Raw genomic sequence first — 26,706 nt, 5'->3', positions numbered from 1 at the left:
GTAAATAAAGTTTTATTGAGATGAAGCCACATGGATTTTTACATATCTGCGACTGCTCTCGTGCACAGTTGAGTAGTTGCAACAGAGACCATATGACCCACAAAGCCTAAATTATTTATCATGTAACCCTTTACGGTAAGTGCTTACCCATCCTTCTTCTAAAGGACAGCAGGGGCCAGGTGTGGTGGCTTATGCCTGTAATCTCAACCCTTTGGGAAACTGAGGCAGGGGGATCACTTGAGCCTAGGAGTTCAAGACCAGCCTGCGCAACACAGCAAGACCATGTCTACAAAAATATTTAAAAAGTTAGTCGGGCTTGGTGGCCCATGCCTGTAGCCCTAGCTACTCAGGAGGCTGAGGTGGGAAGAGTGCTTGAGCCTGGGAGGTCAAGGCTGCAGTGAGCCATGACTGCACCACTGCACTCCAACCTGGGTGACAGAGTGAGACTCTGTCTGGAAACAAAAAAAAAAGAATAAAGGACAAATCTGTTTGGATTGGGGGGAGCCTCTGGGTATGTGGTGGGACATGGAGGTGGGAAGAGGACTGAGAAGCTACTGGGTGGCTTTCTGGGAGTCCAGGGCTTGCAACACACACCTGCTGTGTGGCCCAAGCTGGGTACTCTGTGCAGGTGCATAGTCCAGGAATGACTCCTCCCTCCCTGCAGGGATAACCGGGATGCTCAGCACGTGCTGGAGAGGGACCTCGAAGACAAAAGCTCGGCCCAGTGTATCGATGAGAAGTGCTTTAACCTGAGAAATACGTCAGACTGCATCAGCTTCTTCCACGGCATGGAGAAAATTGACGGCACGTAAGTATCAGACTCCCCCTCCCCATCCCTGGCGTGTCCAACTGGAGTGAGGGCTTCTGCTCCTGCCAACGAATGGCGAAGGGGCATCGTGCACCAGTTAAGTGGGAAGTGGCATGGTTGAACGGGGATCCTCTAGCGCAGGCGGCAGAATCCAAGTCGGGTTAGCTTAAGACAAGATGGAATTTACCGGAGGAGGTATGGGGGAGCCACGAACTCAAGGGGAAAGCGGGAAGGAAAGGTTCTGGCAGTAGGAGCTGTGTGGTCAGAGCGCCTTCATCTTTCCATCCTTGCCCCACCATTCAAGATCCAAATTTCAGGAAGAGAGGGCATGGCATTGGCTTAGTGAGGGTCGCACAGCCACTGCCACTCAGCAGTTTCACCAAAAAAAAAAAAAAAATTCCGAAACAAGTGACAACCTCGGCAGGGAGACCAACTGGGGTCGGCTGGTGGCGGGGTGGTTTAACAGAGTGAATTCTTGCTTCGCCAGGCTTGTTGGCTTACCCCTGTAATCCCAGCCCTTTGGGAGGCCAAGGCTGGAGGATTGCCTGAGGCCAGGAGTTCCAGGAGTTTTCCAGACCAGCCAGAGAGAGAGAGAGAGAGAGAGAGAGAGAGAGACAGAGAGTGGAATCTGGAGCCAGGCTACGTGGCTTCAAATCCCAGCCTCTACGCTAACACTGAGCAAGTCACTTCATTTCTTTGGGCCATTTCTGAATCTATACCACTGGGAGAAAATTAAGTACCCACTTCCCAGGGCTGCTGGGAGTATGAAAAAGGTGGGTGTGTGAAGTTTTAAGCACAGAGCCTAGTATAGAATAATCACAGCCAACATTTATCAAGTGCTTACTGTGTGACCTCATTTTCTCGTCACAGCAGCTATGAGGTGGTGCCTTCTGTGAGCCTGTCATGATCGTGGGCATATCACAGCATTGTGAGGTTTTTTTTTTTTTTTTGGTATTTTTCTTATTTATTTATTTATTATTATTATTATACTTTAAGTTTTAGGATACATGTGCACAATGTGCAGGTTAGTTACATATGTATACATGTGCCATGCTCGTGCGCTGCACCCACTAAATCGTCATCTAGCATTAGGTATATCTCCTAATGCTATCCCTCCCCCCTCCCCCCACCCCACAACAGTCCCCAGAGTGTGATGTTCCCCTTCCTGTGTCCATGTGTTCTCATTGTTCAGTTCCCACCTATGAGTGAGAATATGCGGTGTTTGGTTTTTTGTTCTTGTGATAGTTTACTGAGAATGATGATTTCCAATTTCATCCATGTCCCTACAAAGGACATGAACTCATCATTTTTTATGGCTGCATAGTATTCCATGGTGTATATGTGCCACATTTTCTTAATCCAGTCTATCATCGTTGGACATTTGGGTTGGCTCCAAGTCTTTGCTATTGTGAGATTTTATGCAGAATGAAAACATGCTTCCCAGTTGGTAGTCTGAGGTCTGAGAGATGCTCGGGATGAGAAAGAGGGTGGAGTCTATCTTAGTTCTGCCTTCTTCTGTTAAAAAAAAAAAAAAATCCCTAGCACATAGAATTGTGCTTGGCACATGTTGGTATGCAATAAATTTTTATTGAATAGAAGAATGAATGAAGGAGGAAGGGAGGGAAAGAAGAACCACAGGAAGGGAGGAAGGGAAGCGAGAAGGAAGGTGTTCCTTGGCATTCTCCTTGGCCCAAGCCTGGGGTCACTTTCTGGATCTTACAAATGTCACAGTGCTGAGGTGACCCTTTGGGACTTCTGGTAATGACAACTCCTGGGGACTTTCCTTCTCTTCCTGACAAGGTGCTCTCCTCCATGGCACTGGCAAGGTGAGCAGGACTTTGGGGGCTGGGCCCCCCTCATCTGCACAGGGAGTCCAGAGGGTCTCTCTTCCCAAACAGATTCCTCTCCAGAAACCTGGCAGCCCCAGAGCCTCCAATTTCCACACCCAGGAGGGACCTGCTCCTTAAAGTCCCCCATCTGGAGACTCCATCTGGAGAAGAGAGCTGCTGTTTGTAGCAACTAATTGCTCCCCAGATGTGCTAGCTTGGGGCTTTGTATTTGTGGTTTTCTTATTTATTTATTTATTTATTTATTTGAGACCGAGTTTCGCTCTTGTTGCCCAGGCTGGAGGGCAATGGTGCGATCTCGGCTCACCACAGCCTCCATCTCCTGGGTTCAAGCGATGCTCCTGCCTCAGCCTCCTGAGTAGCTGGGATTACAGGCATGTGCCATCACGCCCAGCTAAATTTTTTGTATTTTTAATAGAGATGGGGTTTCTGCATGTTGGTCAGGCTGGTCTCAAACTCCTGACCTTAGGTGATCTGCCCGCCTCGGCCTCCCAAATTTCTGGGATTACAGGTGTGAGCCACCACCCCTGGCCTTAGGGTTTTCTTAAAGCAGGGCTATGTCTGGGCGGATGAAACAGGACGTTTGGTGACTGTCTGAATTGCAGTATCTCTATTCACTGCAGTTCTCATTACCATGGATTAACAATGATGATAATGATGATGGCAGTAGACACCTTTTTTTTTTTTTTTTAGACAGAGTCTCGCTCTGTCACCAGGCCAGAGCGCAGTGGCACAATCTCGGCTCACTGCAACCTCTGCCTCCCAGGTTCAAGTGATTCTCCTGCCTCAGCCTCCCGAGTAGCTGGGACTGCAGGCACATGCCACCACGCCTAGCTAATTTTTGTATTTTTAGTAGAGACAGGGTTTCACCATGTTGGGCAGGGAGAGACACCTTTTACCTGGTGTTTGCTATGTGCTAGACATTGTGCTGACAGCTTCATATGCAACATCTCATGAATAATAAACATTTTTTGGGCGCTTACTCTGTCCAGTGCCATGACAAGGACTTCACATTTAAACACTCAGCAACCCTGGGGGTTGGTACCATTATTATCTCCATTTTACAATGAGGAAACTAAGGCTCGGAGAGGTGAATCGATTGGCTCAAGCTCACACAGCAAATGGCAGAGCTGTGATTCTGAATCTACATTGAATACTGAGCCTGTGTGTTTTACCAATGGTGCCTTCCTGCCTCTCCAGCAAAGCCAGCTGTCCTCTCCATCTTTAGAGAACAAAGACTCCAGAAAGCACTTCCCCCTACTGAGACACACTGCCTGCTGAGGAGGCAGACTGTCTTTGGCAAATTCCTCCCCAGGGAGAATGTGATTAAGCGGGTTATTTTCTCTGGGGAGCTCAGCTGCCTGCTGCAGGGGAGGACAAGGGCTTAGAGGTTGCTGTTTATGACACTGACACTGTCCCCCCATTCAGAGGCAACAGAGACACTCAAAGTAAATCTGCATGTTTCTCTCTGCTGTCCTTATTGTCTCCTCTTTCCTCAGTGTCCTGGGATGGGACGTTGTTGTGCGGCCTTGAACAAGATGCTTCACTCTCTGAGCCTCAGGTCTTGGTTGGATGAAAGCTCTGAACCTGACTTAGTGCCACTCCTATCTCCAGAAGCCCGAGATGCCTGTTTATTGCTTGATTTTTAACTCCTGCAAAAGCCAAGCAAAACAATCACACAAGCTATATGATTTTTAAAACTTTCTATGCACCATGCAACCTAAGTGTGCTTTAAAATGTCTGAAAAGAGGCCGGGTGCGGTGGCTCAGACCCGTAATTCCAGCACTTTGGGAGGCTGAGGTGGGCGAATCACGACGTCAAGAGATCCAGACCATCCTGGCCAACATGGTGAAACCCCGTCTCTACAAAAAATGCAAAAATTAGCCAAGTGTGGTGGCACTCGCCTGTAGTCCCAGCTACATGGGAGGCTGAGGCAGGAGAATTGCTTGAACGTGGGAGACAGAGGTTGCAGTGAGCCGAGATCCCGCCACTCAAGACCTTCAGAAGTTACCCAGGACCTGAAGCCAGGTCAAAGAAATGCATGCCCTTCCTCAAAGCCTTCCCAGATGAGAAAACCCCACATAGTCCATTGGTTGCTTGTTGCAGGGATTTACATGCTCTGCCAGGAAGAACTTTACTGAGGAGTTCCTCATGTGTCACCACCTCTAAGAAGCCTTCCCTGCCTGCCTTTGCTAATGTAGCCTGTGTCCATGTCCATTGATCTCCCCAGATCCATTCTCCAGCTACCACGCTGTGAGTCCTGCATGGCCGACTATCCTCTGCAGACCTCTCCTGGGCTCTCTGTCCTTTGGTTTCCAGATGGTTTCAGCCTGGAGGAGGGGTACCAGCAGAAGACAGAGTGTGGGAGGGGAGAGGCTGCGATTTCTTCTCCTGCTACCTCCCTCCCAGACACACTGGTCAACCATGGTTCCTCCTTTTCTGGGGCTTTTATAACACCTATTGCTTCCTTTTCTCTTGCCCTTTACAGCTGGGATAGTGACAGCTTCATGCATTTTCTTTTTATTTTTTTGTTGGGGGGGACAGGGTCTTACTCTGTTGCCCAGGCTGGAGTGCAGTAGCGTGATCTCGGCTCGCTGCAATCTCTGACTCCCAGTTCAAGTGATTCTCCTGCCTCAGCCTTCCGAGTAGCTGGGATTACAGGCGTGTGCCACCACACCCGGCTAATTTTTATATTTTTAGTAGAGACGGGATTTCACCATGTTGGCCAGGCTGGTCTCAAATTCCTGGCCTCAAGTGATCCGCCCGCCTCGGGCTCCCAAAGTGCTGGGATTACAGCCATGAGCCATCACATTCAGCACTTCATACATTTTCTAATCCCAGACGATCTCAACACCCTTCCGAGTATTCCATCTATTCCCGTTTACAACCCTGACCAACACATAATGACACCACTCCATTTGTCTCTTTCATCCTCCTGCTGCTGCTGCTTCTTTTGAGACAGGGTCTTGTTGTGTTGCCCAGGCTGGAGTGCAGTGGTGCGATCATGGCTCACTGCAGTCCCGGACTCCTGGGCTCAAGCGATCCTCCCACCTCCGCCTCCCAAGTAGCTGGGACCACAGGCATGCACCACCACATGTAGGTACTTTTTTTTTTGACATTTTTTATAGAGATGTGGGTTTCACCACATTGCCCAGTGTGGTCTTGAACTCCTGGACTCAACTGATCTGCCTGCCTTGGCCTCCCAGTGTGCTGGGATTAGAGGCATGGCTGGCCCAGCCCTCCAGTTTCTAAATCCCTTCCCAGCACATAACACAATGTGTAACTATCTCCTCATTCACTGTCAATCTCCCTCCTCTGGCACTTAACCGCCATGAGGACACGGATGTTGCCGTTCTTGTTCATGGCTCTCTCCTAACTGCCTGGAACAATGCTTGGCATGTCGTAGAAGTTGAAGAAATATTCCATGAATGAATGGCAGTGAAAGTAGCGTGGCCACATTCCCATCGCAGAGTTAGGGGGTTCAGGGACCCCAATGAAGAAGCAGGCCCAAAGCCTGCTTCTTGGCTTGTCCACGTTGTGTTTCTGGTGGTGGTGGTGTGGGTGTTAGGGAAAAGAGCTCTCTGCGGGAGCCCCTCTCTTTGACCCACTCACTGAGTGCCCTTCTGCCAACCAGCTGCTCTCTTTAGGGTTCTCTTGCTTCCCCTGTAAAATGAGGGTATTGGATCAGGACAGTGGTTCTCAACAAGGGGCGACTGCACCCTCCCATTTGGCAGGGTCATTTGGCGATGTCTGGAGCCATTTTTTGGTTGTCACAACGGGGTGGTTGGGGAGCTACTGGCATCTAGTGGGTAGAGGCCAGGGATGCTGCTTAAACATCCCAAGCACCCTACAATGCACAGGACAGAGAATAATCCCGACCCAGAGGCCAAGACTGCCAAGGCGGAGAAACCACAGATTCTGAGGTCTTCCAGGACTGCTGCAACTCACCCTTGTGCCTTTGCAGGATCTCCGTACCTGAGACCTGGGCCAAGTTCAGTAACGACAACATCAAACACTCTCAGAACATGCGGGCCAACTCCATCCAGCTGCGGGAGGAGGCGGAGCACCTCTTTGAGACCTTGTCGGATCAGATGTGGAGGCAGTTCACAGACACCAACCTGGCCTTCAACGCCCGCATCTCTGAGGTGACGGATGTGAAGAATAAGCTGCAGACGCAGCTGGCGAAGGTGAGCAGATCCTCCCAGGACCCCTGCCTTCTCTGCCAAGCCCTCACCCTTCTCCCGTGAATCTGAGTGTTATCTGGGCCAAGCTGGCCCTGCCCCTGGTGCCAAAGCAGTACCCTCTCTCCCAAGGTCTGTGGTCTTTTTCTTCCTAAAAGGGGCCAAGGGCTGAGCTTCCTGGGGGGATTTAAGCATCCATAGTCCATCTTGTCTTGCTTACAAGCCTGGAGCTTGGCCTAGCTGTGCCCAAGAGGCTGTGACACTCCCAGGACCCCTTATTTTCCATCTAAGACCCATGTGGCCGAGCGCGAGTGCAGAGAACGGAGCCCGGCACACCATAGTCTCTGCCACTTCTGCACATCTTCTCCGTCCACAGCAGCATCTTTGGAAGTGTAATCTTTGACTTCCAAAGGCCTGAACGGTACCGTAACAGTCTAAAGGTTCCCTGCTGAGGGGTGGGGTGCTTTTTGGATCTGAGGAGTCTGCAGCACTGCCCGATTCTGTCGTCTGCGTGCTATGCCTACACCAGTGTGCCCTTTAGGCGTTTTGCGTCATGCTTTTTCACACCTCTGGGTTGGCTCTTGGAGTCCTCTTTGGATGGAATTTATAGTCCCTGCTCAATGCAAATTTAGATTCCCACTGGGTGCCAGATGCTGCGCTAGGCACTAGGAATAAAATGAGGAGCCGTATAAACATGGGCGCTGGCCTCTGGGGACTTGACATTCTCCTGGAGGAACAGTGGTGGCTGTGAAATTTATACACAGAAAGAACTTGGATGATAGTCAAGTCAGAGGGAACTAGCCTTGAATTTGTGTTTGCAGAACAGTACCCCTTTTTAAGGCCAAGCACAGTGGCTCACACCTGTAATCCCAGCACTTTGGGAGGCTGAGGCGGGCAGATCATTTGAGGCCAGGAATTTGAGACCAGCCTGGCCAACATGGTGAAACCCTGGCTCTACTAAAAATAGAAAAAATTAGCCAGGTGTGGTGGTGCTTGCCTGTAATCCCAGCTACTTGGGGAGGTTGAGGTGGGAGAACTCGCTTGAACTTGGGAGGCAGAGGTTGCAGTGAGCCAAGATCACACCACTGCACTCCAACCTGGGTGACAGCGAGACCCCGTATCAAGAAAAAAAAAAAAAATAAGAACTGTGCCCTTTCTTATTGTGTCTCTATCTTTGGGGGGATTAGTGGGCTGCAGGCAGGGTTTGATGGAAATTACAGTGGTAGTTTCAGCCCACCTACATCTGCCACCCGTTGATCTGGTACTCCAAAAGAGACAATAAAATAAATAAATAAAGTTTATTTTTCTTTTCTTCTCTCTCTGTTTTTTTTTTTTTTTTTTTTTTTTCTGAGATGATCTTGCTCTGTTGCCCAGGCTGGAGCACAGTGGCACAATCACGGCTCACTGCAGCCTTGAACTCCTGGGCTCAAGCGACCCAAGTAGCTGAGACTACGTGTGCGTGCCACCACACCTGGCTAGGTTTTTTAGTTTTTTGTAGAGACAGGGTTTCGCTATGTTGCTTAGGCTGGTCTCAAACTCCTGGGCTCAAGCAGTCCTCCCACCTCAGCCTCCCAAAGTGTTAGGATTACAGGCGTGAGCCACCATGACTGGCCTCGAAACAGGAGTTTCCATGAAATCATTGCAACATTTTTATAGGGAGGGAGCAAGGGTGGGTGAGCCAGATATTCTCATGGGACCCACACTGGGTGGAGCAGAGAAGCAGGGGACGTTGCCACCGAGAACAGATCAACAGGGAGTTGAGCGGCCAAAAGTTGGTGGGAAGAGGATTCCGGAGAGAGCAGCAAGGGCAAAGGAAGCGTCCGGGATGAAGCTGGAGGAAGGGGCAGGTGGGTCTGGGTAGGCCTGGTGAAGGGTTTGGATTCCTACCTAAGAGCAATGGGGAGCCTTTGAAGATTTTAAGCAGGACAGTGTTTGGATCCAAGCTTGTCCTTTTGTTGATTTCTTTTCTGCCTGCGTGGCAGAAGGGACGCAGAGGTTAAGAATGGATGCAGCGGCCGGGCGTGGTGGTTCACGGCTGTAATCCCAGCACTTTGGAAGGCAGAGGCAGGAGGATTACTTGAGGTCAGGAGTTCGAGACCAGCCTGGCCAAGATAGTGAAACTCCATCTCTACTAAAAATACAAAAAATCAGCTGGGCATAGTGGCATGCACCTGTAATTCCAGCTACTCGGGAGGCTGAGGCGGGAGAATCATTTGAACCCAAGAGGCAGAGGTTGCAATGAGCCGAGATCTCACCACTGCACTCCAGCGTGGGAGACAGAGTGAGAATCTGTCTCAAAAAAAAAAAAAAAAAAAAAATAGAATGGGTGCAGTGGTTAGGAGGCTCCAGAAGAGGCCCAGGGAGTGGGGAAGGCTGCCTGTGCTGTGGTGGTGACATCAAGTGGAAGAAGGACCAGAAAAGGGTGAGATACCTGGAGAAGGCAAAGTTGGCATCGAGTTGGCCTGTGCACCTTCCCTTTATCTTTCATGAACTATTTTCCTACTAATCCTCTAGGACAGGGTTGGCAAACTTTTCCTGTCAAAGGCTAGATGATAACTGTTTTCAGCTTTGCAGGCAATACGGTTTCTGCCTCTATACTGCAAAAGCAGCCGTGGACAATCTGTACAAAAATGAGTGTGGCTGTGTTCCAATAAAACTTCACAAAACTAGGCAGTGGGCTGGATTTGGTCCACAGGTTGTAGTTTTGACAACCCCTGCTCTGGAACTTAGCTCAAAAGTCGCTTCCTCCAGGAATCCTTCCTAAACTCCACGGTTTATTTGCACTCACCATCTCTGGGTGGCCACTGCGTTCTGAGACTGTGTTTTCATTGCTCCTTCCATCTCATATCTTTTGGCTAGAAGCACTGACCCTGAGCCAGACTGCATGGTTATGATGAATCCTCTATAAACTTGGACAACTTTCTTAACTTCTCTGAGCCTCAGTCTCCTTGTTTGTAGAATGAGGATAGGAATTACTGTCACAGGAGGCTGAGGCAAGGAGGATCACTTGAGCCTGGGAGGTGGAGGCTGCAGTGAGCTGTGATTGCACCACTGCACTCCATCCAACCTGGACAACAGAGCAAGATCTTGTCTCAAAAAAAAAAAACAAAAAAAAACAAAAACAAAAAATAACTGCCGTGAGGATTGAGTTAATGCAGGCATAACACCTGAAGGAGTGCGGGCACATAGTAGGCACCATGTTTGTGCTAGTGGCTGTGATCTTAATGTACTAGTTGATTTACTTGCCTATATGTTTTCAGAGCACTGCTCCTGATTTAACCTTGTCCCCCTACTGCTTAATAACTGCCTGGTACTCCTTACATCTTTCTGCAATGAATGGAAGGAATCTACAATGTTGAGGTGGTTTTTTTGAGACAGTCTCGCTCTGTAACCCAGTCTGGAGTGCAGTGGCGCAATCTCGGCTCACTGCAACCTCTGCCTCCCTGGTTCAAGTGATTCTCCTGCCTCAGCCTCCTGAGTAGCTGGGATTACAGACACCCCCCGCCATCACGCCCCAGCTAATTTTTGTATTTTTTGTAGAGACGGCGTTTTGCCATATTGCCCAGGCTGGTCTTGAACTTCCGGGCCCAAGTTCCCTGGGCTCAAGTGATCCACCTGCCTCTGCCTCCCAAAGTGCTGGAATTACATGTGTGAGCCACCATGCCCAGCCTGCAATGTTGAGTTTTGTACTGAGGTTTTTTTTTAAAGAATGAAGCATGCATGAATGAATGCCTTAAATGTCCCTTTTTCTTTTTTTCATGCAAAGACCCATTTTTATTATGGTAAAATACACATAACATAAAACTTAGCATTTTAACCACTCTTAAGTGTACAGTTCTGTGGCATTAAGTACATTCATACATTGTGCATCCATCACCACAATCCATCTCCAGAACTTTTCCATCTTCCCAGTCTGAAACTCTGCACCCATTAAACACTCCCTCCCCTTTTCCATCTCCCCCCATATCCATGGTAATATCATTTGGCTGTGTTTCCACCCAGATCTCATCTTGAATTATAGCTCCCATAAACCACATGTGTCAGTGGGAGGGACTCAGTGGGAGGTAATTGAACCATGGGGGCAGGTTTTTCCCGTGCTTTTCTCGTGATAGTGAATAAGTCTCTTGAGACCTGGTGGTTCTATAAAAGGGAGTTCCCCTGCACATTCTCTTTTGCCTGCTGCCATGTTAGACGTGCGTTTGCTCCTCCTCTGCCTTCCACCATGATTGTAAGGCCTTCCTAGTCATGTGGAACTGTGAGTCCATTAAATCTCTTTTTCTCTATAAATATCCCAGTCTTGGGTATGTCTTTATTAGCAGCAGCATTAGAACAGACAAATACAAGTAACTACCATTCTGCTTTCTGTCTTTGATAATTTGACTACTCTATGGACTTCATATAAGTGGAATCATACAGTAGTTGTCCTCCTGTGACTGGTTAATTTCACTTGGCATAATGTCTTCAAGGCTCATCCATGTTGTAGCATGTGTCAGAATTTCCTTCTTTTTCAAGTCAGAGTAATATTCCATTGTCTGTCTATACCACGTTTTCTTTATCCATTCATCCATTTATGGAGACTTGGTGGCGTCCATCTTTTGGCTCTTGTGCATCTTCTTTTAATGAGGCATCTCATACGGTGGATCAAATGTAGTTCATTGTCATGTTTCATTGCCTGAAGTTTGTGGTCTGGGGATGACTTGGAAAGGCTCTTTTAGTTGGCTATTGGTACCTGGTTTCTCACCTGTGAAACAGGGATAAGAATTTCTACATGGTAACATTACTGTATTAATGAGGTAATCTCTGGAGCTCTTAAAACAGTGCTTGACAAATGATAAACACTCAGTAAAAAGGTAACTGTAAGTATTAATATAATTACTGATGGAGAGAGAAAGGATCTTTTGAATGGAGGTGGGGAGAGCAAAACCTTTTCGCTTTCCAAATTCCTCTAGTGAGGATCCCTTGAGCCCCGGAGTTTGATGCTGCAGTGAGCTATGATCGTGGCACTGCACTCCAGCCTGGGTGACAGAGCAAGACATTGTCTCTAAAAAATTAAAATTAAAATAAGTTGAAATAAATAAATAAATACATAAATAAATAAATAAATAAAAATAAAAATTCCTCCAGGGAAGTTTTGAATTATTACTAACAACCTCATCACTACAGACTGGAGGGTTTTTGCAACCTCATGGATTTTTATTAATAGTCATAATTTAATCACCAGCTGTTCTGCAAATAAGTTAGCACCCATCTGAAATGCACCAAACTCCAACCCTACGCTATTGACATTTTCCTGAGCAAGGATTTGTCTTCTGGTTGGTGAATTTCACATGGTGTTATTCTAAAATAATAAAGGAATTTGATGCAATGAAGATAAATGTATAGCAACCATTTCACTTTTCAACAGTTTACTTTGGCTAGAGGATTTGAAATGCTCTCTTCTTTTTTTGAGGTGGAGTCTCACTCTATCGTGCAGGCTGGAGTGCAGTGACGAGATCTTGGCTTACTGCAACCTCTGCCTTCCAGGTTCAAGTGATTCTCCTGCCTCAGCCTCCTGAGTAGCTGGGCAGCTGCCACCATGCTCGGCTAATTTTTGTATTTTTAGTAGAGATGAGGTTTCACCATGTTGACCAGGCTGGTCTCAAACTCCTGATCCCAGGTGATCCACCCGCCTTGGCCTGCCACAGTGCTGGGATTACAGGCTTGAGCCACCGTGCCCGGACTGAAATGCTCTCTTTAAAAATGTAACTGTTATTAGTTGAGCTTAGCCTGATAGTCCTTGGCAAAAGGCATTTCTGGAAAATTCCAAGTGCCCATCCTTACCTATGCTGCAAGGCAGTTATTTCCCAAGTGGTCACAGGAATCCACCTTGTAAGACCAAATCTACACGGCTCCACGTGCAGACAGTGGTTTGGGGCTGTGCAGACAGCCTCATCTGTTCACTGGGATGCTAGAGTTCTGTCACCTCGGCCACACCCCAAGCCTCATAGCTTGCCCCGGGGCCTCATCCTTGCACTTTGAGGCTCCAGGTATCACTGTGTCATACTGACCACTGCTAGCAAAGGAGCTGGTGACTTCTCTGGACTAAAGAAGTTGGTGGCCACAGAGTGGGTTGCTGCCTTTGAGTGCTGATTCCTCTGAGACCCAGGGCCCTGGAAACTTCCAGAAAAACAACCCCTCATTTACATGCAATTACCCAAGTGAATGTGCATTTGAGTGGGGGATCTCTTAATGTGTAGGGGGAAAAGATGCATAAATATGGTTTTTGGGGGTAGGATGTGTGGGGTCAGGGATACTTCTATGGAGAAAGTGCTTATTCTGACATTGTGGGAACTAGACCCTGGCAGGTGAAATATTATATGTGTTACATGGATATAGCATTAATATCACTGAATCATACAATGAGAAGGTTATTCCTTCTTCATTGCTTCTGACCATCTCAAAAGTGCTAGAATGCCTTCCTTACCTCTTTTAACACCTGCCAATCTCCCTTTTATAATTTTTTTTTGGAGACAGGGTCTCTCTTTGTTGCCCAGGCTGGAGTGCAGTGGCACGATCTCGGCTCACTGCAACCTCCGCCTGCCAGGTTCAAGCGATTCTCCTGCCTCAGCTTTCCGAGTAGCTGGGATTACAGGCATGCACCACCTTGCCCAGCTATTTTTTTTTTGTATATTTAGTAGAGATAGGGTTTAACCATGGTGGCCAGGCTGGTCTTCAGGTGATCCACCGGCCTCAGCCTCCCAAAGTGCTAGGATTACAGGCGTGAGCTACCGTACGTGGCCTCACCTGTTGATAAGCATTTCGGTTGTTTCCAGTTTGGGGCTGTTACAAATAAAGCTGCTGTGAACACTCATGTACACATATTTGTATGCACTCTCACAGAGTTCAAAAAATATTTGGTAAAAAATGGTGATTTCACATAAAAAAATTTCAGATTTCCAGCGTCTCTTGAAAAATTAGTAGCTCTAGCAATTCAGAGCTCATGTTTCTACAGGGGAACAGTGGGTAAGGGTTGAGTGGCTGCTGCCTCTCTTTGGGTCAGGTGCTCCAGTTAGCCTCAGACCCCACCACTCCCTATTACAGCACGCTTCCCTCATTTGCATTATTTACTTGATCCTGTAGCCCTGTATTTGTGCACTCTGCTTTATATATCAGAGGAAACTCAGACAGGCAGATAAACAAAACATCCAGGCATAGGAAGAGGTTGAACAGAACAGAGAAGGGCTATGAATTTTAACCTTGAAGGGCTTTGGTTTCATTCTGAAGTTTCTTTGGGGTTTTGACTCCCAAGCAGCCATTGTTAGCATCAGCAAAACCACCCCTTCCCAGGAAGGCCTGGGCAGGAAGGCCTGGCGTCTGAGGGGTGAGGGCCCCTGCTGGTGATCTGAGGCCCTGCGTGTCTACTGCCAACCCCTCTGTTTGTCCAAGGAGGTCTGGAACCCATTGTGCAGTGGGAAATGCTTTTGTGCTTTGCAGCCGATTCCTTCCAGCACTGGAGCCTGCAGCCAAGCTACTGACGGCTGGTTTCTAAAACCGGCCCAGCCCTGGGGAAGTGGAGCTGGCAGCCTGGCCCTGTGCTACCCTCCTCATGAGACACCACTGCATCCCAGGGAGAAAGTCTCTCTCTTCTCTGATGGTGTCACGGAGGAAGACTCATCATGATGCCGACCTCTCTTTAACACCTATCCTTCCTTTGCCCGTCTGCCTTTCTAACAAAGGCATCAGGCCTCAGGCTTAGAAGCTTTGGAAAGCAATAGAACCTAGATATAATTATTAACTTCTTTTTTCCAGCTAGGTGTGGTGGCTCACATCTGTAATCCCAGCACTTTGGGAAGCCAAGGCAAGCAGATCACCTGAGGTCAAGAGTTCCAGATAAGCCTGGCCAACATGGTGAAACCTCCGTTTCTACTAAAAATACAAAAATTAGCTGGGCATGGTGGCGCATGCCTGTAGTTCCAGCTACTTGGGAGGCTGAGGCAGGAGAATGACTTGAACCTGGGAGGTGGAGGTTGCAGTGAGCCAAGATCATGCCACTGCACTCCAGCCTGGGCGACAGAGCGAGTCTCCATCTCAAAAAAAAAAAAAAATTATTAACTTATTTTTCCCATTTTGCCTATTGTTATGGTACCCTCTATTGGTGGAAAACAATAGTAGTTTTCCACTTGTGGAAATAATTTAAAGATTTCATTTCAAATACATATGTTAAAGCCTGAAACAGGCTGATTTGAAGAAAAATATTAAATGATTATGTAGATGGTATGTGGATATGGGAAATATGATGACGATGCTGCCCAGTACCTGAAATTTGGGAATGTTAAAAGAAAAACTTAAAGCAGATTAAATTTAACAGAATTTAATTGAGCAAAGAATGATTCGTGAATTGGGCAGCCCCCTGAACCAGAATGGATTCAGAGCAACCCCAAAGCTGCCACGTGGTCGGATGATATTTACAGACAGAAAAAGGAAAGTGATGCACAGAAGACGGAAGTCAGGTACAGAAACAGCCAGATTGGTTACTGCTCATTGTTTGTTTGCCTTATTTGAACATGATTTGAACAGTTGGCTGCCTGCGATTGGCTAAAATTCTGTGATTGGTATAGGAGTCGGTTCCAGGCTGTTCACACATCCAGTTAGGTTACAGTTCACTGTGTAGGGGAGAGATCTTTAACATACGTAAGGAAGGAAGCCAGGCGTGGTGGCTCATGCCTGTAATCCCAGCACTTTTGGAGGCTGAAGTGGGAGGATAGCTTGAGCCCAGGAGTTTGAGACCAGCCTGGGCCACAGAGTAAGATCTTGTTTCTACAAAAAACATAAAAATTAGCTGGGCATGGTGGCATGCGCCTGTAGTCCCAGCTACTTGGGAGGCTGAAGTGGGAGGATCACTTGAGCCCAGGAGGCCAAGGCTTTGGTGAGCTGTGATTGTGCCACTGCACTCCAGCCTGTGCAACAGAGTGAGACCCTGTCTCAAAAAAAAAAAAAAAAAAAAAAAGTAAGGAGCCAGTGTTAGGCTGAATGAAGTTTAGTTCATTTCATCGGAATCCCTGGCAGAATAGTTACCCCTGCATCAGTGTAGATAGTTCATATGGGCAACTGTGCCATGAAAGTGACTGCCATGTTTTAGGAAAACACACCCGCATCAGTATTCAAATAAGGAAACAGCCGTATGTCCTGATGGAGGGATGACCAGGTTGCAAGGGCACTTTTGACGAGACACAGTTCTCACGCCTTGTATTGACTTCAGAACAACACCCCATCCCTGGCTTCATAAGGTGATCCACCCATGCAGACACTCAGTAATCAATGGCTGCTGTTCATTCCTGTGCAGGCGTTCCCTCTCTCTGCAGTCTGCATTTTCTTAGAAGTTGTGGCCTGAGTAATTCTTCACTGTAGTGGTTGTCAGCTGAAGGCAGTTGTGTCCCCCAGAGGACACTTGAAATGTTTGGAGGCATTTTTGGTTGCTATAGTTTGGTGAGGGGGTGCTGCTGGCATCTACTGGGCAGAGGCCAGGGATACTGCTAAACATCCCACACGGCGCAGGGCAGCCCCCCACAGCAAAGAATGTTTGGGCCTGAATGTCAGTAGTGCTGAGGCTGAGAAACCTTGTTTTAAAGGAATTCCAGGCACCACCGAGGAACAGGAGGGGAGGGTTTGAGGAGGTAGAAGACCTCCAGAATTCTTCAGATCTGCGTGAGTCCTGAACTCATGAACTGTTGCCTGAACAGGCCAATTGCCCTCTTATAAACTACAAGATTCCAGAAGATAGGAAGAATCTGAGTGTATAAAACCTGGACTGTGCCTACTCCCCGTGGCTTGGTAAACAGGGTGGTTCTTCAGGGCATCCACACCCCTATATGGGTGCACACCACCATGCCCGGCTAATTTTTGTATTTTTAGTAGAGACAAGGTGTCACCATGTTGGCCAGGCTGGTCTCAAACTCCGAGGTCCACCAGCCTCGGCCTCCCAAAGTGCTGGGATTACAGGCCTGAGCCACCGCGCCCAGCCCCTGTTCTGTTGAAGACTGCGTTCCTGTAGGTGCTGGGCTTGGTGTGAATGTGGCTTTCAGAGGCTCTGCTATCTGTGGGTTTCCAGCTATCTCAGGCTATAGCTCTCAGGAAAAGGCTCAGGGCCATATGCATGCATAGGTAGGTCTCTACCTGATGCCCACCTTAGCACCAGGAGGAATCAAAAGCCCTTCCAGTGTCACGTGGGCTCAGGTCTCATCATAGTACGTGGGTGGTGTGTGCCTGGATGGACCCAGCATGAGGGGTCCCTGGGAGTTCAGACATGGGAAATTCTGAGAGCTGTGCCAAAAGGTGGGCTGGTCAGGGTGACTGTGTCACAGCTTATCAGTTCATGGGAACACTATGCCAAATGGGAGAGGAGCTGCTGGAATCAGGAAGGTGGAGCCAAGGTCCAGAGCTGGGGAGGTAGGCGACAGATGCAGGAAGTTGGAGGGACCATGCAGGAGATGGAGAGAACGAACACGGGAGAGGGCAGCACAAACGAGACTGTTTCTAGCTCATTTTGTGAACACCACCTATGCTCAGGAACGCTAGTACTTCTTTCCTCCCATGGCTGGCTTCAAATGGTGACAGCCAATCATATGCTTTGCCTGGAAGCCCTGGGCAGGGCAATCACTGGGATTGGTTCCTGGTGAGATGAGAAGAATATAAGGTGCAGCCTGGCCAAGGCAGAGGGTTGCGGTGTCATCTCCCGGGTAATGTTATGCCCCAGCATTCCCCTAATTTTTTCCAAGTGATGACTCCTCCACCTTTGTGTCTTTGTCTGCTTGCTAGCATGGGACCTACTGGCTAGCCTCACCTATGCTCCAGCTTTGACATCTGCTGGCCTCCTCCTTGGTCCAGCCTCCCCTTCCATCTCCACCTTCTGTGTCCCGACAGGTAAGACCCATAGTGTATTGCAGAGTGCTGGGCTCATTTCTGGCTCCAGCACTTCCTGGCTGTGTGGCCAAAGTCAGGTTGCCCTACCTCTCTGTGCTTCAGTTTTTTCCTCTGTCAAATGGGAGTAATGATGATTGACAAGCAGTTGTGAGAATAACAGCAGCTGTGCCCATCCCTTAGTGATAATGACTATTAGCTATAAAAATAGTACAAAGCTATGGTCTGCTTTCTCATCTGCTGATGTGGGAGGGATGACAAAGTAACGGAAAGAACCTGGCACCTGGTTTGAATTTTGGTATGACTAAGGGGTCTTGAGGAAGTAACTAACCCTTCTGAATCTGTTTCCTAATCTATAAGAAAGGAACAATCCTACCAGCTGTGAGGAACAAGTGAGAAGGTGCAGGTGAGCCGCTCTCAGCCTTAGTGCCACATTGGAATTGCCCAGATGCCTGGGCCTCACTTTAGGGATTCTGATTTAATTGGCCAGGGTCTGGCCTGCAGCAGATCTTTTTAAAACTCCCCAGGTGACTCTAATGCACAGCCCAGGACTGAGGACCAAAAGTTAGGTCTTCAGACCAGTGGTTCTTAAAGTGTGGTCCTTGGACCATCAGCATCAGCATTACCTGGGAATTTGTTAGAAATGCACGTTCTCAGGCTCCATCCAGGACCCACTGAATCAGAAAGTCTGCCAGTGGGGTCTAGCGATCTGAGTTTTAACAAGCCCGCTAGGTATATCTTCCAGGTGTAGACATGCAACAATTATCTGTTGTTCCCTCCCTCCCTCTTCCTTCCCTCCCTGCAGCAGATATGTACTTAGCCCATCCTATGTGCTAGACTGAGTTAGGCGCTGGGGATTCAACAGTGAACAACAGACAAGATCTCTGCCCTCAGGGGGCTTACATTCTAGAGGGGGAAATAGAGTTAAAAAAATAAGCAAACACACAATTAATTAAAAGTGGTAATAAGTGTTAAGAAGGAGGCCCTCAAAGGCCTGAGATGATGAATTATCATGAATTTTTTTAAGAGCATATTGGTCTCTCAGGCAAGAAAGCTTCTACCCGTTTCTAACCCCATTCAGGACTTTCAGGACCTCTGACCTCAGACAGCCTCTCAACAGCTGATGCATGTGCTGGCCTGACATATTCCGAAAGCAGCTGGGCTACCACTTGAGAGAAACGGCTGCGAGCAGGACCTGCTCAACATTTATCTCCTGGAGTAGTGGTTCCCAACCAGGGTGAATTTGCACCCCACTGGCATTTGCCAATATCTGGAGACATTTTTGGTTGTTGAAATGGCTGGGGGTGGAGAATGCTACTAACATCTAGTGGGTAGAGACCAGGGATGCTGTGCTAAACAGCCCCCAATGCACAGGACAGCCCCCACAGCTGAGATATATCTGGGCTCAAATGTCAAGAGTGCCAAGGGTTGAGAGTCCCAGCTCTGGGGCGTTCATGCTCTGAATCCCTGACCGGGTCCCTCCGGAGCGCTCCTCTCCTCTTTCTCTCTCTCCTTGCTCCTGAATTTGGCTGAACTTGAAAATCTTCCACCATTTGACCAGAAAAGGATTTCAAGCTGCCTTCCTCTTTCCTGAGCTGGGGATCTGCACTGAGCCAAGCATCTCCTTGGAAACTCCTTGGCTTCATGCAATTTGGAAAACAATAAATTTGCAAGGTTGCACAAAACATCCAGAAGCCTAAAGCTGGCTGGAACTACTAAATCCATTTTTTTCCTTCCACATCAAAAATAATTTCTTGGCCTTAGAGGCTTTCTCCACTGTCACAAGACACAGGCAGATAGTTTTACATGGTGAACAACCCTGCCAAACATATCTCTGCTTTCAGAGCTGTTGGGTGGATTTCTAGTCCAGCCAGGAATATCAGCACACTTTTCCACTGAGCCGAGGTTGGTTTTATCTGAGGCAGACCTGATAATTGCCTTTCACACCCCATGCATGGCCAGAGACCATTCCCAGTGCTGACCTCAACCCTTTCCACATTCTGGGTGCAGGGTTGAGGGTGAGTGGGTGGATGGAGTGGAGATTTGCTTCCGGCTTCTCCTCTGCAGGGGGTGAGAGTGGGTGATCATAATTGAGTTTTCCATCCTGCTGCAAGCCGAAGGAGAAAGAAAATGATAACTTACTGTAACAAAGACATATTAGCCTTACTGAGAGCTTTACTTAGGTGAGCTTATCTTTCCCTCCCATGAAGAAGGGGTTATTATTAGACCTGTTTTACAGATGAGGAAACTGAGGACTCATTACAAAAAGTGATTTGCCTAAAGTCCCCACCACTAACCACTCCAGCTAGGAAATGGCAGAGCTGTGTTTTACTCCAGGTGGTCCTGTCATGGGTGCAACTGGCTGGGGCCAGTGCTGTGGATGGTAAAAGAATTTGCCAAGATAGTCATGGGTAAAGAAAGGCAGATGTATTGGAGAAAGTACAAGGATACGTTGCAAGAAAGCAATGGGCAGCACAGCACAGAAGGGGCTGCCTGCAAAGAGGCAGGAGCTGGAAGGAAGTTTTATAGGGTGGTGGTGCCGGGGCTACGTGCAGAACAAAGTATTTGGGAACAGAATGCTGTGCAAGTGAGTTGTTTGTGGTTAACCGTCTCTCAGAACAATTGTTCTCCCCAACCTGGGGCCGCCTCCTCGTTGTTGCTGACTTAGGACTCCACAAGTCCTGCTCTAGATTCTGAGCTTCAGGTTAATAGGGACACTTCCCCCACCTCCACCCAGCCTTATGACAACAGTAATAGGTCAACATCTAAAGCAGCAGTTCTCAAACAAGGTGATTTTGCCCCCATTTCCCCCAGGGGCATTTGGCAATGTCTGAAGACATTTAGTTGTCACAAATGGGGGTGCGTGCTACTGATGATTGGCATCCAGTGAGTAGAGGCCAGGGATGCTGCCAAACATCCCACAGTGCACAGGACAGTCCCTACCCCCCACCATGGAGAATCACCCAGCCTCAAATGTCAATAGTGCCAAGGCTAAGAAACCCTGATCTGCTAGCATTAAGGTTTAATTTAAGAAGAGAGAAAGGAAAAAAGATAGTAGATAGGTAGATGGCTAGGCAGATGGTAGGGTAGATAGTGTGGAGGCTGAGGGACCCAGGGCTCTGAAGGGCTTACTGTGTGCTGGCCACAGTGCTGAACACATTACACGGGTTACCTAAATCCATCCTGGAAGTCACCTTCTAGGATAGATGCTATTATCATCTTCTTTATACACATGGGGAAACTGAGGCTCACAGAGGTTTGGTGATTTGCCAAGGCCACATGCTTGGCAGTGGCTGGTGGCTCCCCAACCTCTCTTCTAGAAGGTTCCTCTGGATTGTAGTGAGGTGGGCACACTGGAATCCGAATACCACTGGCCTCTCCTCACTCCGCACATTCCATAAGTTCTCAAGTCCTTCCTACTTCATCTTTTGGATACTTTGGTGACCTCGTTTCTTTAGCAATTGTCCACACTGCCTGGGTGTGAGTCCTCCTGTCTCTCAGCTTGTCCAGATTGTCCCCTCTGTCTATCCTCCAAATGGCAGCCAGAGAGATCTGCATGAAACTACAAACATAATCATGTCTTTCTCTTGCTTTAAAGCTTTAATATGCATATGAATAGCTTGGGAGTTTGTAAAAATGTAGATTCTGTGCTGAGATCTGGGGTGGGGCCTGGGTTTCTAACAAGCTCTTCAAGTCCAAAGATGCTGGTCCAGGGACCACACTTGGAGTAGCGAGGTGCTGCAGAAATTGTTCTCTGAACACAGAAACCCCAGAGGAGCAGCAGACTTACATGAGATGGACAGCTTTGGGGGATTGTGATTTCCCCTGGAATAGTTTATAACAGGGGTTGCAAACTCACAGCCCCAAGGGCCAAATCCCCGCCCCTCCGCCTGTTTTTGTAAATAGTTTTATTGGAGCACAGCCATGCCCAATACATTTTCATGTTGTCTGCAGCTGCTTTTGTGCTACAGTGGTCAGGTTGAGTAGTTTCAACAGAGATCATAAAGCTGTATATTGAGACTTGCAGCAATTTAAAGAGGATGGACTTGAAGAAGAAAAAACAAAACACAGCCGGGCGCGGTGGCTCACGTCTGTATCCCAACACTTTGGGAGGCCAGGGTGGGCAGATCACTTGAGGTCAGGAGTTCGAGACCAGCCTGGCCAACATGGCGAAACCACATCTCAACTAAAAATACAAAAATTAGCCGTGCGTGGCGGTGTGGGCCTGTAATCCCAGCTACCCAGGAGGCTGAGGAAGGAGAATCTCTTGAACCCAGGAGGTGGAGGTTATAGTGAGCTGAGATCATGCCACTGCACTCCAGCCTGGGCAACAGAGCAAGACTCTGTCTTCAAATAAATAAATAACACACACACACACACACACACACACACACACACACACACACAGCCTTGCACTCCTGCTGGTAACATTCTCAGACTGGCTTTTGAAGGAAGTGGCGGCTCTGGGCATGTGTGGGAGTTTGAAGGTGGAATTCATAGAGAACATTACCTGGCCAGTCTCTGTCTCCCGGATGAGGAGATAGCGGCTCAGAGCAGTCAGGGGTTCTGAGTGGGGGTCTGGGCCCCACAGTTGGTTTGTGTTAGGGCTGAGATGGGAACCTGGGCCTCCTGACTGACCTTTTACCTCCAGGACACCCTGCACAGAATTCTGCCAGCAGGTGGGGGTGGGGTGGGGGGAGTTACTTAACATGAAACCCTTTGGTCAGCCAAAGGTGGGGGCATGTGGCCCAAAGAGCCACCTGCCACCTGCCTTGGGCAGGCTCTTTTTCTGAGCCACATTCCAAAGACTGAGGAGAGCCCTTTTCTATTACACAGGCAACCCCCGTCTTGACCCCTTACACTGGAATAAGTGGGTTGAGGGAGGCTGGGCTAGGGTGGGGGATGTTAAATTGGATCCCATACTGGAGATCTGGGGATCTGCCTCTCTCCAGCTGTGACCTCATCACGTTGCCTAATGTCTCAGAATGTTGCCTGTGATATCCAGGGAATTGGATTAAATGCTTCTGAAGGTGGATTCCTTGTAAATTAAAATAGTAATACGTATTGAGAGTGGTGGAGACAAAAATGAGTTTTTTCCTTTATTAAGGTGAAATTCGCATAACATAAAATTAACTACTTTAAAGTGAACAATTCACTGCCATTTAATATTGATAATATTGTACAACCACCACCTCTACCCAGTTCCATTTCCGTCACCCCAAAACAAAACCCTGTGCCCACTGAAATCTATCCTCCCCAAACTTTCCCCATTCACCTTTCACCTTTAAGCTATCGTAACACTAATAATGAGCGTACAGGCCTTTCATGGTTTTCTTATTTTGAATGTGAATACATTGATTTGTTTTCTCTGCGGTTGCCTTATTAAAACTTTTTTTAAAGTGAGGTATTGCCAGGTGTGGTGGCTCACGCCTGTAATCCCAGCACTTTGGGAGGTTGAGGCGGGCAGATCACGAGGTCAGGCTAACATGGTGAAACCCCATCTCTACTAAAAATACAAAAAATTAGCCAAGTGTGGTGGTGGGCACCTGTAGTCCCAGCTACTCGGGAGGCTGAGGCAGGAGAATGGTGTGAACTCGGGAGGCAGAGCTTGCAGTGAGCCGAGATTGCACCACTGCACTCCAGCCTGTGTGACAAAGCGAGGCTCCATCTCAAAATAAGTAAATAAATAAATAAATAAGGTATAACACAGCAAAGAACACAACTGTATTAATCTTCAAATTTTAAAAAATGGTTAGTCATTATGGAGACATAATAGTTGTACATATTCGTCAGGTACATGTGATATTTGACTGCATTAATCTGGGTACAGTTTGAATTTGATTTTTACGTGTGTGCGCACATGTGTGACCAGTACCTAGTTCAGTGGCTCTCAGTCATGGGGTGATTATCCCCTCAGGGGATATTTCGCAATGTGGTTGTCACAGCTTGCGGGGTGGATGCTACTGGCATTTAGTGGGTAGAGACCAGGGATGCTACTAAACATCCTTCAATGCACAGGACAGATACCACACACAGAATGATCTGGTCCCAGACTGGGCACCGTGGCTCACATCTGTAATCCTAGCACTTTGGGAGACTGAAGTGGGTGGATCACTTGAGGCCAGGAGTTCGAGACCAGCCTGACCAACATGGTGAAACCCCATCTCTACTAAAAATACAAAAATTAACCGGGTGTGGTGGCGCATGCCTGTAATCCCAGGTACTCAGGGGACTGAGGTACGAGAATTGCTTGAACCCAGGAGGCAGAGGTTGCAGTGAGCTGAGATGGCACCACTGCACTCCAGCCTGGGTGACAGAGTGAGACTCTGTCTCAAAAAAAAAAAGAAAAAGAAATATCTAGTCCTAAATGTCACTGAATGTCAATAGGTGATGAGGTTGGGAAACCCTGTTCCAGATCAAAGGCTAGGACATTTCTAGTTCCAGGAGCCCCCCTCATACCACCTCTCAGTCTACACCCCCTCCCCAAAGGAACTATCATTCTTACTTCTATCACCAGCCGTTAGATTTGCCTGGTCTTGAAATTCATATTGATAGAATCATGCAGTATGTTCTTTTCTTGTGCTTGGCTGCTTCTACTCAATATAGTATTGGTGAGGTTCATCCATTGTATTGGTATGTGTGTGTTAGAAGTTGTTTTTTACCGCTGGATAGTGGTCTATTGTGGGGCTATTCCACAATTGATCCATCCTCCTGTTGATAGATGTTTAAGTTGTTATGAACATTCTTGAACATTCTTGCACAAATCTTTTGGTGGACATATGGACTCTTTCTCATGGGCGTTCCCAGGAACGGAATCCCTGGCTCATAGAGTGGGTGTATCTTCAGCTTCAGTAGGTTCTGTCAAACGGCTTTTCAGAGGTTGACAAATATTGACTTCCACCAGCCGCATATAAGTGGTCCAGTTTCTCTGCATCCTAGTCAACACTTAGAATTGTCATCTCTTTCATTTAGATTACAAGTCAATAATCACATTCAAAGACAGGGGATACAAAGTTTCTTTTGTGGGTGAGTAATGAAAGTGTTCTAAATTAGATTATAGTGATGGCTGGACAACTGTAACTATACTGAAAACCACAGTACATTTTAAGTGGGTGAACTTTGTGGTAAATTGTATCTCAATAAAGATGTTGGAAAAAATTGAAAGGGGAGGCCGGGCGCAGTGGTTCACGCCTGTAATCCCGGCACTTTGGGAGGCCGAGCCGGGCGGATCACGAGGTCAGGAGATCGAGAACATCCTGGCTAACACGGTAAAACCCTGTCTCTACTAAAGATACAAAAAAAAAAAAAAAAATTAGCTTGGCGTAGTGGTGGGCGCCTGTAGTCCCAGCTACTCAGGAGGCTGAGGCAGGAGAATGGCATGAACCCGGGAGGTGGAGCTTGCAGTGAGCCGAGATTGCGCCACTGCACTCCAGCCTGGGTGACTGAGCGAGACTCCATCTCAGGGAAAAAAAAAAAAAATTGAAAGGGGAATGACTTTTCTACAACGTGACTTAATGTTATCATTTACCACTTAAAATCACTTTGGAAGTCATTGGTTATAGCACTGGATTCACTCCTATTTCTCTACTGTCTTATCCTCTTGATTCCTATCCTAAATACAGTTGTTTAAAAGCAGCTCTAGGCCGGGCATGGTGGCTCATGCCTGTAATCCTAGCACTTTGGAAGGCCAAGGCGGGTGCATCACCTGAGGTCGGGAGTTCGAGACCAGCCTGGCCAACATGGTGAAACCCTGTTTCTACTAAATACACAAAAAAATTAGCTGGGCATGGTGGTGCATGCCTGTAATCCCAGCTACTCAGAAGGCTGAGGCAGGAGAATCGCTTGAACCTGGCAAACGGAGGTTGCAGTGAACCAAGATCACACCATTGCACTCCAGCCTGGGCAACAAGAGTGAAACTCTGTCTCAAAAAAAAGAAAAAAAAAAAAAAGGCAGACCTAATTTTTGGCTTTATATACAACTAATTGTCCATCAATCTGAGTCTAGGCTTGAATTTCAAGTCAAAAATATAGGCTGGGTGCAATGCCTCATACCTGTAATCCCAGCACTTTGAGAGGCTGTGGTGGGAGGATCACTTGAGCCCAGGAGTTCAAGACCAGCTTGGGCAATCTAGCAGACCCCATCTCTACACAAAATAATAAATTAGCCAGGCATGGTGGTGTGCATCTGTAGTCCCAGCTACTCAGGAGGTGGAGGTGGGAGGGTCACTTGAGCCCAGGAGATCAAAGCTGTGGTGAGGAGTGATTGCACCATTGCCCTCCAGCCTGGGCAACAAAGCAAGACCCTGTTTCAAAAACAAAACAAAAAGTAGTTTGCATGTACCCAGTTGAATACCTTTCTAGAGAGATCAGTATAACCTAAATGTTTGTGTCTTTGGTTATCTTTTCCTCTTGACATCAGTTTATTATATCTCAGGTGTTTGTATTCATTTCTAGGGGTTCACTTCTATAGGCCTTACCTCTTTGGCTTCCAAATTTCTCAATAAATAAATCAAGATGGCTGGGTGTGGTGGCTCACACCTGTCATCTCAGCACTTTGGGAGGCCAAGGCGGGTGGATCGCTTGAGCCCAGGAGTTTGAGGCCAGCCTGGGTAACATGGTGAGACCCTGTCTCTAAGAAAAATAAAAATAATTAGCTGGGTGTGGTGGCACACGCCTGTAGTCCCAGGTACTCAGGAGGCTGAGGTGGGAGAATCGCTTGAGCCCAGGAGGCATAGATTGCAGGGAGCTGACATCACGCCACTGCATTCCAGCCTAGGTGATGAGCAAGACTCTCAAAAAAATAAAAATAAAAATAAATAAATCAAGAGCAGTGGTTCTCAACCTGGGGCAATTTTTTCCTCTAGGGGGTAGTTGGCAACGTCTGGAGATAATTTTGGTTGTCACACTGGAAGTGGGTGCTACTGGCATCTAGTGGGTAGAGACCAGGGAGGCTGCTAACTAAACATCCTTCAAT

The 26,706-nt window shown here is 47.7% G+C and overlaps 1 protein-coding gene across 1 annotated transcript in view; it reads left to right on the top strand.

The window, feature by feature from the left end:
- Positions 1–26,706, top strand: part of TEKT5 (tektin 5) — a 67,430-nt gene that overhangs the window by 12,130 nt on the left and 28,594 nt on the right. The window contains exons 4-5 of the mRNA NM_144674.2: positions 665–808; positions 6,620–6,842. Coding sequence (NP_653275.1) covers positions 665–808; positions 6,620–6,842 — 367 coding nt within the window. The remainder of the gene's footprint in view (positions 1–664; positions 809–6,619; positions 6,843–26,706) is intronic.

Source organism: Homo sapiens, chromosome 16 (genome assembly GCF_000001405.40).
Source record: "Homo sapiens chromosome 16, GRCh38.p14 Primary Assembly".
Classification (NCBI taxonomy): Eukaryota; Metazoa; Chordata; class Mammalia; order Primates; family Hominidae; genus Homo; species Homo sapiens.
The sequence above is the reverse complement of the archived record's forward strand: the minus strand, read 5'-3'. Positions and strand labels throughout refer to the sequence as shown.